This window comes from Homo sapiens, chromosome 7 (genome assembly GCF_000001405.40).
Source record: "Homo sapiens chromosome 7, GRCh38.p14 Primary Assembly".
Taxonomy (NCBI): Eukaryota; Metazoa; Chordata; class Mammalia; order Primates; family Hominidae; genus Homo; species Homo sapiens.
In genome coordinates, this window is record NC_000007.14 from 142,236,832 (window position 1) to 142,250,935 (window position 14,104).

Consider the following 14,104-nt stretch of genomic DNA (forward strand, 5'->3'; position numbering starts at 1 on the left):
CAGGGAGGATGTCAATCTACCTCCACTTCTTACAAAGAGATGGTAGAAACTTTCAGAGAGTTTGTTGCTTTCTAAAGGTCTTTTATTGTGGAGGGGTTTGAGAGAAGGTGTGGGATGGGGTTAGACTGGGGCTGTGCAGAGCAGTGTGAGGATGAGGGCCTTATGATGGTGAGTTACCCCAGAGGATTATATTGTGGATGGTGATTTAGTATATGGGGTAGTGAGCAAGATAGGAATGGTACTCTGGTTGGAGAGTAAGCAGTGATTTCCCATGGCTTGAGGGTTTTCTAGATCACATTAGGCAGAGGAAAACCTCAGAAAAGGTGATTTCAATCCAGTTGAGGGTTGATTTATTTGAGGAAAAGATGCTTAAAGATCTCCAGGGGATTACTTTCACCCAATACTAGATGTTTTACCATGTGATCATTACAAGAGTAATACAAGCTATTCTAATTTCAGATTAGACTAGACATTATATTTTTCTTTCTGGCAGATTATAATTTATGATTACAACAATTCCTGTGACCTGTATGAAGACACATATTTCTAATTTCAGCTTGAGAGAAATTTAGTCTTTTATTGGATGATTTAAGTAGATGATTAGTCAGAGGGAAAATTGGTAATATAGAGGACAGAGTGTATTATAAGATGCAACAGAAACTTTTCTCCAATATATGCCCAGATAAAAGTACACCAGAGTAGGAACAGAGTTTAGGGCATATGTGGTTTAAAATTTCCACCCATAAAAGAGTTTCGTCCACACCACATCTTTCCAATCTCATCAGCATGTGATTTATACATCCTCAAAAGGTTGCCCATTAAATTTTTGCTCATTACTTATTTTAAAAACGTTTTTGTCGGTACTGAGATAAATTCTGGCTTCCCAGAGGTCTACCTATAAGCTTTAATTTTTCATGTTAAACCATCTCTCTGATACTGTTTCGCTTTTTAGATAATGGCTACTATTTTCTTACCAGTCATCCAGATTAAAACTCCTTATTCCTCTAAAACATCTGTCTCATGACATGTAGCTAAAAAAGAATATATATAATATATATATTTATTTGAATTCTACCATCTTGTGGTTATTTAAGTAGTTGTCTATAAAATCCTATATATGTATTTTGCAGCCTTAAGCCATGCATGTTATTACTCGTTATGCCAGACAGCTTGACAGCTGAAATTAGTCCAAGGGTCCAGGGCTCTACTATAGCTTGGAGATGGAAAGTTCTCTGCTCAGAGTGAAAATTGGTCAAGAATGCTTGCTTGGGAAAACGTGCAGGTGTTGTTTAGAAACAACATTTTTCTAATTTTTTTTCCAGGTTACTCTTTCTCTCCCTGATTTCCACATTTTTAATACTGTTTTTATATAGATCCTGTGCTGGTTTCTTTGCTTTAATTAATATTTCATTTTCAAATAAGCTCAAACTTGGAGAAAAGTTGCAAGTATAGTAACAAATTCCAGTATTCTCTTTATCCATTTTTCCCAGTTATCTCCTGTAAATTACAAATTGTTCACTATATTTACTTTATCACTTTTCTCTTTTTCTCTCCTCCTTTCCCCCCTCTCTATCTCACAAACATTCGACAGTTTGTATACAATGTGTTTCGTTATCACAAAAATACTTTAGTATGTATTTCCTAAAAAGACAAGAACGTATTCTCACATAACTACAACATCATCATCCAAACCAGGAAATTAACATGCATACACTACCACCACACAATGCACAGACACCAGGCACATTTCACCAATTGCACCAATAATGTCCAATATAGGAAGCACAAACAACAGCAACACAAAAGAAATTAGTCTGCGAGCACAATTGCATGTCGCATTTAATTGTTTCATTGTTTTATTTTGCTTGTTTTTTACTCCCCTCTATTCTGGAACTATTCCTTGGTTTCTTTTTTTCTTTCATAATTTTGACATTTGAAGATTACTAGTCAGTTATTTGTAGAATATCCCTCATACTTGAGGGTTACCTAATATGTCCTCGTGATTGCACTGAGGTTATGCATTTTTGAGGGAAATAACACAGGCACGATGTTGAGCCCATCTCAGTGCTCCCTATCAGGAGCCACACAATGTCCATCTGTCCATTATCGCTGATGTTCTGTGGGGTTACTTGGTTGAGGTGGTGTCTTCCAGGTTTCTAAAGCTACTATTTTGTCTCAACATAAATAATAAATATACTGTGAGAAGATACTTTGAAGTTATGCAGCATCCCATTTGTTAGTTGTGGCATCCATTGATGATTCCTGCCTGAATCAATTATTACTCTCAAATTTGCTAAACAGTGATTTTGTATCTCCTTATTCCTTTTGCCTTTGTTATTTTGCTTGGGAAGAACTTGTCTTTCTTTGCTATTTATTTATTGAGTGATGTTTGGTAATAGCCACTTCCTGAGGCCTCTAAACGTGCCACTTCTCTGAGATCCCACATATTCTCATGATCTAGCAACTAAAATTCTAACTACAGGAAATCAGGGGGCTTCCAGGATTTGTTTCCACTGATGTCCATTTTGACTGGTCAGTGCCTGTGCTGTGGCTTAAATGTGTGATGTTAGAATGTGATTCCTGTTCCATCCAGGAAGTAGACTGGTGAAGAACATTTGAACTTCTAATTCAGGGGTCCTCAGTCTTAATAGCATATTGGAAATGCCTGGAGAATTCAATAACCTACGAATGCCTGGGTGGTAGCTCATCATCAGGTGATACTAATATGCTGTCAAGATTGACAGCCACTGGGTTAGTGTAGTTGAGAGCTTTCCTGTTCATTGTCAGCTAACTAAGTAGTAGCAGGGACTTAGATACTGATGGAAACCCTAGCAAACAGGGAGAAGAAACTAAATTATTCGACTCATGAAGGTATGGAGAGGGAGGGAGGAAGAGAGAAAGAGGAGAAGGAGAAGGAGGAGGAGAAATAAGAGAAAAGGAAGAGAAAGAGAAGGAGAGAGAAATGGAGCCAAATGTAATCAATGGTTAGATTTGGGTAAAGAATATATAAGAATTACTGCCCTTCTTTATGAATTTGAAATTGTATCAAAATATTCTTAAGCCACTAAAGACCAAAGTCACAGTAAACATTAGCCCATGGGTCCTCTTGTCCTCATAGAACCACAGAGAAAAGTAAAAATAAGGAATACATCTTTTATTTATCCTCCACATTTAATATGAAGTTGTGAGTAGAGGAGGTGAAGAAGAAAAAGAGTTACATTCTCATAGTCACTAGGAGAGAATCTGACCTCAGAAACCCCTGAAGGATGAGAGATGACAGAGAGGCCCAAGTGACAGAGTGTTCTTAGAGGAAGTTGGGGTATCTTTCTTTTGCAGCATGTAACGCAGTCAGGAAACTTGCATCCAGAACATATGATCTGGAGAGGATCCTGAAGTCATCGAATTCAAGCTCCCACCGCCTGTGGGAATGTTTAAAGTACTTTCCCAGCGGTATTCATATGCACTGTCTGTCTAATATGTATGTAATATGAATGCATACCTTTTAACTATAGAAGTGCATTATTCTCTGCAGGTTGACAAAAATGTAGTCCATTTCTTGAGGCGACTGGAAGAGGAAACATTAGGTGGCATGGAGTAAGGCTCAGAAGGGGACAGTGTGACCTCAAGGAGAGAATGGCTGCTGAGGGGCTTGTAGGCATGTAACTGCAGCTCTGTAAGGGAAGAGAAATGCATGTCTCATTTCCTATTTATTTCAGTGGCACCTGTTTTTGACCTGATGTCAAGCACATAGACGGTGCTCAATGAATATGTTACTGATAACTAAATGCTGAGACCAGCAATAGAGAGAAAAATAAAGGAGGTAGTGGGTAGGGCTTCCTTTCTTCCTCCCCCAGTCCTCCCCAAGGTCCCTTCCACACACACGAGGTCCTGTATTTCAGGATGACTCACTCTGATGCCTCCTCCCCCAGCTCGTGGGCCACGTAGATAATGTCAGGGTACCCCATGCAGCTGGAGATGTTATTTTGGGGATAGTAGAAGAGGAAGATGAGGCACATCTCATTAATGGTGCTGGGGCCTCCCTGGAGGAAACAGACAAAGATGGAGAGACAAAGATACAAAGGCATGCAGAGACAGGAGGACAAAGCAAACAGAAAATAGTTGAAGTGGTTATCTTACCAGTGATGCCATTCTCCTTTTCCCTTAAGGTAGAGCCAGCTCACTGCCCTATTTGCTGCTCTATTTTCATTGGTGGACAATTATTGATGTTATTCCAAAAAGCATTCCATATATCTGCCCTGTCCTCAGCTTCACTGCCACTATCCTGATTTGGGCTAGACTATCTGCCTCTCAACTATTGTCAGTCACTCATCTGTTCTAATTGCAATCTGACCTCTGTAGAGCTACCAGACAAGTTGTTTACAATTTGTCTTGCATCCTGCCATTTGCCTGTTCTGAAACCTCCAGTGGCTTCCAGTCACTGGAATAGTCAGTCATCACTAAACCAATTATTTGATTCTATCTAATAAATTCCAACCCATTCATTCATTCCATTTACTTACCTGGCAAATATTTATAGAGTTAGCCCTGCTGTCCTGGAGATATAGGTGGGTCAGGATCACCCCTGCTTCAAGGACTGTTTCCAACTTTATCTACCTCATCCTCATTCCATTCCTTTAGATATCTTTTGCCAACCAAACTTCTTCATGTGCACCCCACGCTCTCCTTATATATGGCTTTCTCAGTTTTTTCCTTCTCCAGAATTCCCCATCTCTATGTGTCTAAAGAAGGACTCATTCACCTACGTCACATGTTCAGTTCACTGTAGTAGGATCTCATGATTCTTTCCTGTGAATTTCCCTAGTGGGTTATTCCCGTTCTTCTTGTATGGTATATATCACTTACTAACTTGTGATATAATCATTTGTAGGGCGGTATTTTTTCCTCAGTTGCCTGCAACACCTTTTGAATCCCACAAGCACTGAACCACTCCTGATGCACAAAACGGGGGATTTTCTTGTGATCATAGAAACAATAGCCAACTTTAATTGAGAATCTACTACAAGTCAGGCAATGATCTAGGTGTTTTGCATGTGTTAACCAACTCCCACAACAATCTTGTGAGGTAGAAAGTAGTATTAATCTTATGTGAATTGGGAAACTGAGATACAAAAAAGTCAAATAACTTGTCTAAAGTTAGAAATGTACTAAATGATTGTGCTGATATTCAAACCCAGGCAATGAGGCCCCAGAATCTCTGCTCTTAGTCGCTATAGCATACTATATTTCCATGGTCTTGGTGGGTTATTGGCAGATAATGTGAGAAATCCCTGTTCCTATCTTAGATGCATGGGGTGTGAGAACATGAAAAGCCCCGTGTGGATGTGTGATGCCATTGGAGGAAGGAAGGGGCTTCAGTGAAATCACAGGGGTCACTGGGTAGCCAAAGCCATGAGTGGGCTCTCCACTGGGGCTATGGTCATGGTGACCATGGTGGGGTGAGAGGTCACTTACAAATGTCATGGAGTCACGGTCCAGTGTCTGGTAGTGACATTCTACCAGCAATTCATCTCCCTGTTCAGAGTGAAACATGAAGGCTGAGAGTAAGACACAGAGGGACTGGTACAGCTTGAGAACTTTCTTGGTTGTCAGTAATGAGGTATGATGCTGCTGCCCCCAACTCTGCCTGGCCTCCCTCAGACTCTCACCGGCTTGATCTCCACTCTAGAGGGCAAATCTCGAGTCTCCTGCAGGTTGAAGTCATAGGAATCGTCTTTACAGATTTTTCGAAGTTGTGTTCCATTCCTAGAGGAAGAGAAGTCGGGAATTCAGAAATAAAGAGAAGATGAAATACAGAGGGGTCTGCCAATAAAGATGTAGCATGCGGGTGGGGTCATTCTGTGAGTAGATTATCCATAAAAATAAACAAAAAACTTCATCTTCCACAGTCTTATTTCAGTTATTTCTACTCTAAAGATAGTTCTACCTCTTCCTTTTTCTCAACCGGACATAATCGTATGCTACAGAATAAATCACTATTCTTAAAATTCATTCCCACCTGCAGAAGGGAGAGCTTCAAGGTCTTCCCTCACCTGTATTGCACTGCTTGCAGAGCCCGTCCAGCCAAGTGGGTGTGCAGCAGGTAGCCATACACCTGTATGTCAGGCATAGGAGCTCCATTCATCTGTAACAGGGAAGAGGTGCACCCGATTTGTTAAGGACTGTGTTCTTGACCTGCTGCTTGATTTCCCCCCCTTGGTATTTGACACTTTCCTCTGATGACTGACATTTACCACTGTAATTCTTATTGAACCTTTCTGACCCTTCTTCCTTCTGCACTTCCCTTGTTCTCAAAGCCCTGACTCCTTCCCTTCCTTGCAAAACTCATGTTAGTGAATCTCCTGAGCACCAGGCTGTAATTATTCTCCAAGTCTGGGGTTCAGGCTGTGTGGGCTTGTGGATCTGACCAGATCTGGGATGGGGGGTAAGGAGAGTGTGTTTCCTCCTCAGGAAGGGTGCGCCTCCCAGCTCCACCTCCTCAAACTTCTCCGTCCTACACAGCCCATAGGACATGAAGGACTCAGCGCCCGGGGGGATGAAGTGGATGGGAAACGTGAAGAAGCCCAGCTGGAGGACATCCGTGTCGTATTTGCGCAGCTGAGAAGTGTAGTACACGCAAATCCCCGAGGAATCATACACACCTGGTGCAGAGAGGAACAGTCAATCACAGGAGGCAGGAGAGTGGGTCACAATGTGGAGAGAAAGAGGCTCAGGAAAGCTGGGGTGGGGCTTTGACAACAGGGAGTCAGCACACATCCCACAATGCGTTCCCAATACCGAAAAAAACAGCCAGCCCCACCAGCTTCCCTTCCTTAAATCCTCTGGATGCTCACCAGGAAGGTTGTTAAAATTGCTGTAATGAATCTCCAGTCGGATCCACTGAAGGTCCAAGGGGGTCCCAATAGAGACTCCTACGTCATCTGGAAACTGGTAGCTCTGTTGGAAGGAGTTAGATTTGGCAGCAAGAAGGGCTGGGAACCAGCCATAGGGATTCAGGGCTCCTGGCCTTGTTTTCTAATTGTCATCCCAGACTTCCCCTATCCCCTGGTCTTCCACCAGCCCAGTGATCTCATTACCCAACCACATGCACCCGCTTAGCCATGTGTTTACCCCATCACGGGACTCACTGTGCCCCCGACAGCCCAGCCCACGATGACCTGTGAGCAAAGGGAGAAGGCAGGGTCGGCCCCATAGCAGTCGCTGATGCCTGTGGGGAGAACGCTAGCATTGCCGCAGGCGTACACCAGGATGTGATGCACCGTTGTCTCATTGTGGTAGACCAACTTAGGCTCAAACTGGGCAGAAAAGGAGAGCAGAGCATGATCAAGACCTTCTACATCAAATCCATATTATCTTCCTTCCTGTCAAAACTATACCCATTTCCCTCTTCTCTCTGTTTCTCTCTCTCCCTTTTTCTCTGTTTTTGTTCCCCAAGCTACCATTTTCCCACCCACTCAGTTTGACTCTCCTCTCAACTCCCCTCTCCTTTAAGCCCCTTCTGGAGAGCAGACATGAAATCTAGCCAGGGACATTCTGCCTTCCCTTAGTAACCTCCTCAGTTCACTGTATCTGAGCATGTAGCCATGCCTTTTCAAATTATCTGTCTAAAGAAAGAAAGTCTCCACATTTGCCACATATTGTGAGATCATACCTTTATTTATTTGATCAAAATTGAAATCACTCAAATATGAAATTGGGTTACCAAGTTTGAGTTCATTCTAGCTAGACTTCTTCAACCTCCTGACAGCCCCTGGCCATATCCTCTCCCTGCCTTTACCTCCTCTTGGGCTAAGAGAGCACAATTCTGGGGCCAGGTTGAGGCTCATACTTTGTTCTTTGCAAACAATTATTAATTCTTAACCTTCATCAACATGTCTGTTGCATTGTGGGGCTTAAATAAAATAGCGCTGGGAGTTACATTTCTGGGCTCAGGAAATGATGTAGCCGCGACCTCTACCAAGCCCTGCCTGTCCCCCTGTTCTTGCAACTACTTCCTTCTTGCTTCCTCCAAGAAATTTTCCAGACCTCATCCTCCAGGGTTGACCACACCCCCTGCTCTGCTCCAGCACCCTTCCCTGCCTTGACAATGTCCCCCATCTGGTCCACCATACCTTGTAAATGTGATGCTTCTCGCTCACAATAGGGAGAGGAAGAAAGGTGCAGGCATACGTGGTGTCATCCTCTGGAATGAGGAACTGTGGAAGGGTGCACAGAAGCTGAGCCAGATGACAGTGAGGCTCTGAAAAAGTAGGGCAAGGGCCAGGCCAGGGAAGGGGGTTCACATTAGGGTCAGATTGGCAGTCCTTAGGAGACAGAGAAGAGTCAGAGTAATCTCCACCCAAGGGATGTACTGAATACTGGGGGCAAGAGAAGGGATCTGGGTTGAGTGGGGTGAGGAGAAGGGAGCTGGAGGCTGCTGGGTGGGATGAAGGTGTCTTACATTAGTGATCTCCAAGTCATGGATGATGGTGTCCTCAGGGACATCCAGATCGTCAGGGTGGACGACTTGTAGCAGAAAGATGGACTTGACAAAAGTACGCTCCCGATACAGCTTCAGAGTGTCATCCAGGCCATAGGTGGCCAGCACCCTCACGGTGTTGCTCTGCGGGGTGCCATAAGCATTGAGGAGCTGCCACCCCTGAGCAGCACTCTGCATATCCCTGCACCCAAGGACCTACACAAGGCACTTGCTCATGTCTACATGGTGGAATGGAAGGAGCTTCACACTGGGAGTGAGAACTAGTTAAGTTCTATTTCTGCCTCCGAGGCTCACTTGCTGGTGATCTTGAGCAAGTCACACTCCCTCTCGCATGCCCTCTCTAAGCTTGTGTCCACATCTGTAAAATGAAAGGACTGAATTAAACTCTTATATCCTAACACTCTAAAGGTCAGCGAAACTGGGCAGAATTCTTCAAAAGGAAAACCCTGGGGCAGGTGGGCAGGAGGTGAATCAGTGGGAGGTCACCCTGCGGAAGGCTTGTGGATTTCAGCAGGTGGCACAATTGGAGCATTTCCTGGGAAGGCTGAGAGGAATAGAAGTCCTGGGAATGATGACTAGCTGCCTGACTGGGGGCAACTACCTCTCCAGAAGGAAAACCTGCTTGTGATTAAATGCTTTTCTCTGCTCTCTATTTTACCGTAATATCCAGGTCATGAGGGTCGCAGGAGCGGAAGGGCCTGGAAAAGTGCATGGTGGTGTAGACAGCATCTTCCGTCAGCCGCAGCAGCTCAGCATCCTGGCTCCCATCCTCCTTCAGAGTGTCTTCGTCCACCAAGTGCTGATCCTTGGGTCCAGTGAAGGTCAAGAAGTAAGAACTAGGAGCTTCAAATGTCATGCTTTGGAGCAGTAGCTGTTCCTTTAGCTCCCCTAGGATACTACAGTAGCAGAGCCCAGGTGTTCTTTATTATGTAGTTTTTCTCCTTGGGCAAAGCATGGCATGAAGAACATGGCAGAGCACACTTTTATGGATAATGGAGTTTCACCACCTGTCCTTGCTTTACTTCTCCCATTTCAAATCTCATGTCCATAAAGTCTAATATTCCTGCATCCCTAATACTTGAAGTCTCACATATTATCTGAAGTATGTATGACATTCATTCTCTCATGTGGCTCTTCATGTAACTATTTCTCAGACAGCTTTGAATTTTCCCTAGTGACCTGCATTTAGTGGGCTTTAGCAAGTAAGTGGTGCAAGACTATCTCACAATCTAATGGTTTCATTCTCTCAGCAGTCTTAGAGACTTGCAGTCTGGAAGACATAGATTTCAAACTCTACAATGGACCATTTCTGGAGGGACACACCAGCATTCAGCTGGCATTCTGGGAGTGTGTTTAGATATCCTCGGGGAATGTGAATCCTTTCTGGACAGAAACCATCCTCAACCCAACAAAGACCCTCATCCTTGGAAGCAAGTCACCCTCACACTTACCGAGAAATAGACATTGCCATTAGGCAAGACTCCTCCAACAACCAGATCACTTCCCACGTTGGTGTAGCGATTTGTGACACCGAAGCCCACCCAGCCAGCTGTACGGACCTGGAGCTCAAAACTGATGATTTCAGCCTCAAGGTCAAAGTCCCAACGCAGGAAAATGACATTAGAAGGATCTAGGAACCTGGAATAGCGCAGGCGAGATGTGGGGCCAAGGCGGTTGCTTTGTAAGGGGACTCCCAGGGCCAAAAGTGGAAAAAGCCTGAAGAGAAGGTCATGGGCCATGGCTCCTGGGACCTGGAGCATCTCCCTTGCAGATGAACATTCGAGAGCTTCAGAGTTTTATGTCCTACCTGGGCCAGGCACCATGCCATGGGGGAGGGCCAGGCTGGGGCACTTCTGATCTGATTATCCTCCGGGTTCAGAGCGATGCCCCTTACATAACTCTGGAGGTGAGAGGTGCCCAGAGAGGATACAGGGCAGGTTGCTTTCACTCTGAAGCAGGGGCCTGGCAGAAAATTCTTAGGATTGAATCATTTAGACTTTCCACCCTGACCCCATGCCAGCGTCCTGCCAGTGGGGACCCTGCAGAATCAAGAAAGTTTAGTTTCTTTTTCTCCCCCTCCCTTCCTGCCCACCTCTTCCATCTTCTATCCTGGATGTCTTTACAGGACATTCTGCCTCTGGACTATGCCCCCACCCCACTTTTTGTGGGCATTTCCCATTTTGTCTATGTATAGAACTTCGGTACTAGCAAGGATGTGGGACTGCTTGTAAACCTAGTCTTTCAATTTCCCAGTGCAGTGCAGGAAGGAGGGAAGTAGCTGGCAGGGACCGGAGGGAAGGCTGCAATTTCCATCTGCTAGAGGAGGCTTTGCTACTAATCCCTAGAAGGACACTGAGAGGAGGGATATCAGCTTCTCAGATGGTTGAGTCGGGCAGCTTTGGTTTTCTGCACACTCCTAGGGAGGAGCAGGAAGAGAGAGGAGGTGAGGGGAAGAAGATGAGAAATAAACATGAGTTTGCCTTTGGGATGCTTTGTGCTTTCCCTTCCGGCCATCAATTACCTTTCAGAGAAATTAATTTAATGGCTGCATGGCAGGCTGAGCTTGCCCGATTGAGCACATTAGTATTATGCAAACAATGGAAGCAACACAGAAGGAAGGTTAGAATATTAGAACACCAGAATAGAAAAGAACTTTAGAGCCACTTAGTTTTCCAAAAATTTCTATCTCCTTAATTTCTAGATGATGAAATGGGAGCTCCAAAGGGTAACAAGAGTGGTGCTTGATGCCCCGTTGAGTCAATGGTGGGTCATGGTCCCTGACCATAATTTCCTTAGGTCACAGACACCCTACAGGTACCAGACCCCTGCCATGCATTTCCACATGGCTTGTCCTGGTGGAAGAATTTAGTGACATTTGTTGGCTGCTTCTTAGGGAAGAAACCAAAGTCTGACTCTAACTCCACAGTATTTTCCCCCTGGTGACTGACACAGCTGACCTAGAGCTAGAAGTCACCTCATCTGACCCCTGGTTGCTGGCTCTCCACTTGACAATGGAGAGGACATGGACCCTGAGGGCCTCTCCCACACAGACTGGGCCTCACCTCTCCACAGAGGAATTCAGCTCAGGAGTAGATGTACAGATGCCGGCACGATCTGCTTACAGCTTCTCATTGCAGGCATAGTCTTTTTTTTTTTTTTTTTTTGGCTACTGAGCTCATCAAAGCTGGTGAGGACCCAGCTAAGGTTGTTTGCTGCTGCTGTGAGCACTTGAGTAGTAATTGGGGTGTGGTGAGGGAGAAAACAAATGCCTCAAGGGGGCAGCCACAGCCCCTAACTCTAGGCCTGACAGAGAAGGCAGGGAGCTCGGCAGCCATCTGGAAGCAAGAGGCTTATCTTGGCCCAGGACCAGAGCTGAGCCAAGAGAAGAGGAGAGGTCGGAGCCTGGGAGGCACTGACCTTGAGGAGCAGTAACACCAGAGAGAGAGAGATAACAGGTGCGTGGAGACATTCTGATCCCAATCTCACTTAAGGATTAAGGGAGGGGGCAGTAGGGAGACAGGATAGCCAGTCTTGTAAATTGAGACGGGCCCAGGATCCCTTATCCTGCAATCTGTCCTGCTGGACAGAGCACTGTCCTCAGCACAGAGGCAAGGTCCTCAATAAAGAGCTGGGAGCAGTGACTGCAGACTCAGAGGGTCTCTTCTCCTGGATCCTTATCTGGCTTCCACCCCAGGAAGCCAGGCCATTGCTACACCTGTGTGAGGCTCTCTAGGGAGATGGGGCTGGGGCTGGCCCTGCTTCCCTTCTGCATTTATCAAGTGCCTGTGACAGGGAAGACACCACAAGAGGGTCACCGACCTGAGGGCAGTGCAGTCCCAGGTCTTGAAATAGTGAAGTTCAGTTTCTAAACCCCTCTGTGCCTCCTTCTTGCTCTCTGTAAAATGCTGCGGTTGGAGAGATGGTGGATACAGGGCCTTTTAAGTTGAATTTCCCAGATGATTGGTTTCCAAGCTTTCTGAAAAATGAGGCCCCTTATCAATGTTGAAAAATAGGTAAATCTCATTCTTTTTTATGACTGAACTTAAAGAATGTGATTGGATTGTTTGTAACCCAAAGTATAAAGGCTTTTTTTTTTTTTTCTGAGACAAGGTCTCACTCTGTCACCTAGGCTGGATTGCAGTGGCATAATCACAGCTCACTGCAGCCTTGACCTCCCAGGCTCAGGCGACCTTCCTGCCTCAGCCTCCTGAATAGCTGGGATTATAGGTGTGCATCACTATGCCTAGTTAATTTTTGTATTTTTTGTAGAGACGGGGCTTCATCATGTTGCCCAAATGCTTGATGTGCTTATTTCACATTCCATGCCTGTATCAAAACATCTCATGTACCCCATACATGTATATACCTACTATGTATGCATAAAAATTTTTTTAAATAATTTTTAAAATTAAAAAAATTCTGAGAATTTAAGCTTTTAATCTCAGTTGAGTACTAAGTGAATGGTAATTAAAGACTAAAATTACTACCAGTTGTCATATTTTAATTGAATTTAAAATTTACCATTGCAATCATAGAAGTCAACTCTTATTGAAAGCTTAGTCTGTGCCAAGCTCTATTCTAAAATGTATTGACCCTAAATACATTTAGATAATGTATACATTATCTAAAATGTAATAAAAAAATAATAATTTTTGTTATTATTTCCATCCTATGGATGAAGCTGCTGAAACCCAAGGTCCCACTACTGGGTGGTGGCAACACTATGAGCTGTTGGGAAAATATAACTAAATCTATTATTAAGTTTAAGTAAAATAATTGAATATTATATAATTATATGAATTAATCAAATATAATTAAATATATTTCATAAATAAATATTATTAGAAATAATTCAAGGAGAAAAAAAATCCCCCAACCCAGAAAACCTCTCTACAAAGGTAGATGAGAACAAAAGTACTTTTAAAATCTTTTTTTTTTTTTTTTTTGAGATGGAGTCTTACTTGTTGCCCAGGCTGGAGTGCAGTGGTGTGATCTCAACTCACTGCAACGTCCACCTCCCGGGTTCAAACGATTCTCCTCTCTCAGCCTCCCGAGTAGCTGGGATTACAATTGCCCACCATCACGCGTGGCTAATTTTTGTACTTTTAGTAGAGATGGGGTTTTACCATATTGATCAGGCTGTTCTCAAACTCCTTACCTTAGGTGATCCACTCACATCGGCCTCCCAAAGTGCTGGGATTACAGGCGTGAGCCACCGCACCTGGCCTCATTTTTTTTTTTTTTTTCTAACAAAGAGCATCCTGAAATATTGAGCTGCAAACATAGGTAAGAAAGCTGGAAACTTGCATGGGGAGATGCCTGCAGCTACACCAAAAGAAAAGGTGTACCTGGGGGCCAGGCATGTCCACCATAGAAGCTTCATCTTCCCTTTTTTGTTAGCACATGTACAGTAAGAAAGAAATGGGCAACATGGTGCAGCTCAGGCCAGAGGGAGTAGCTATTTGTCCTCACTCAAAATAACATATTCTGAATTTGGATTTTCTTTCCCCTGTCACCGTTACTGTCCTAGCATCACATTCCTTGGATTCTCTGAATGCCTTATTGCATTCCACACAAAAATGATGTATTCTCCAACCAAGGAGGTCA

At 44.1% G+C, this 14,104-nt stretch overlaps 1 pseudogene across 1 annotated transcript, besides 1 other annotated feature; it reads right to left on the reverse strand.

Moving 5' to 3' along the window:
- Window positions 3,906-10,236, reverse strand: MOXD2P (monooxygenase DBH like 2, pseudogene; annotated as a pseudogene). Its single transcript, NR_024346.3, has 11 exons — window positions 9,949-10,236; window positions 9,156-9,302; window positions 8,459-8,620; window positions 8,130-8,213; window positions 7,146-7,313; window positions 6,852-6,954; window positions 6,493-6,659; window positions 6,051-6,142; window positions 5,667-5,763; window positions 5,473-5,532; window positions 3,906-4,040 (listed from the first exon to the last, which is right to left on the reverse strand). The product of NR_024346.3 is annotated as a monooxygenase DBH like 2, pseudogene (transcript).
- Window positions 8,713-9,912: an enhancer, noted in NCBI's record as "BRD4-independent group 4 enhancer chr7:141945363-141946562 (GRCh37/hg19 assembly coordinates)". NCBI's record gives its function as "activates an origin of replication core promoter dependent on BRD2, P300/CBP, MED14 and CDK7 cofactors, and independent of BRD4, by STARR-seq in HCT116 cells {active_cell/tissue: HCT116}" and the evidence as "EXISTENCE:reporter gene assay evidence [ECO:0000049][PMID:35650434]".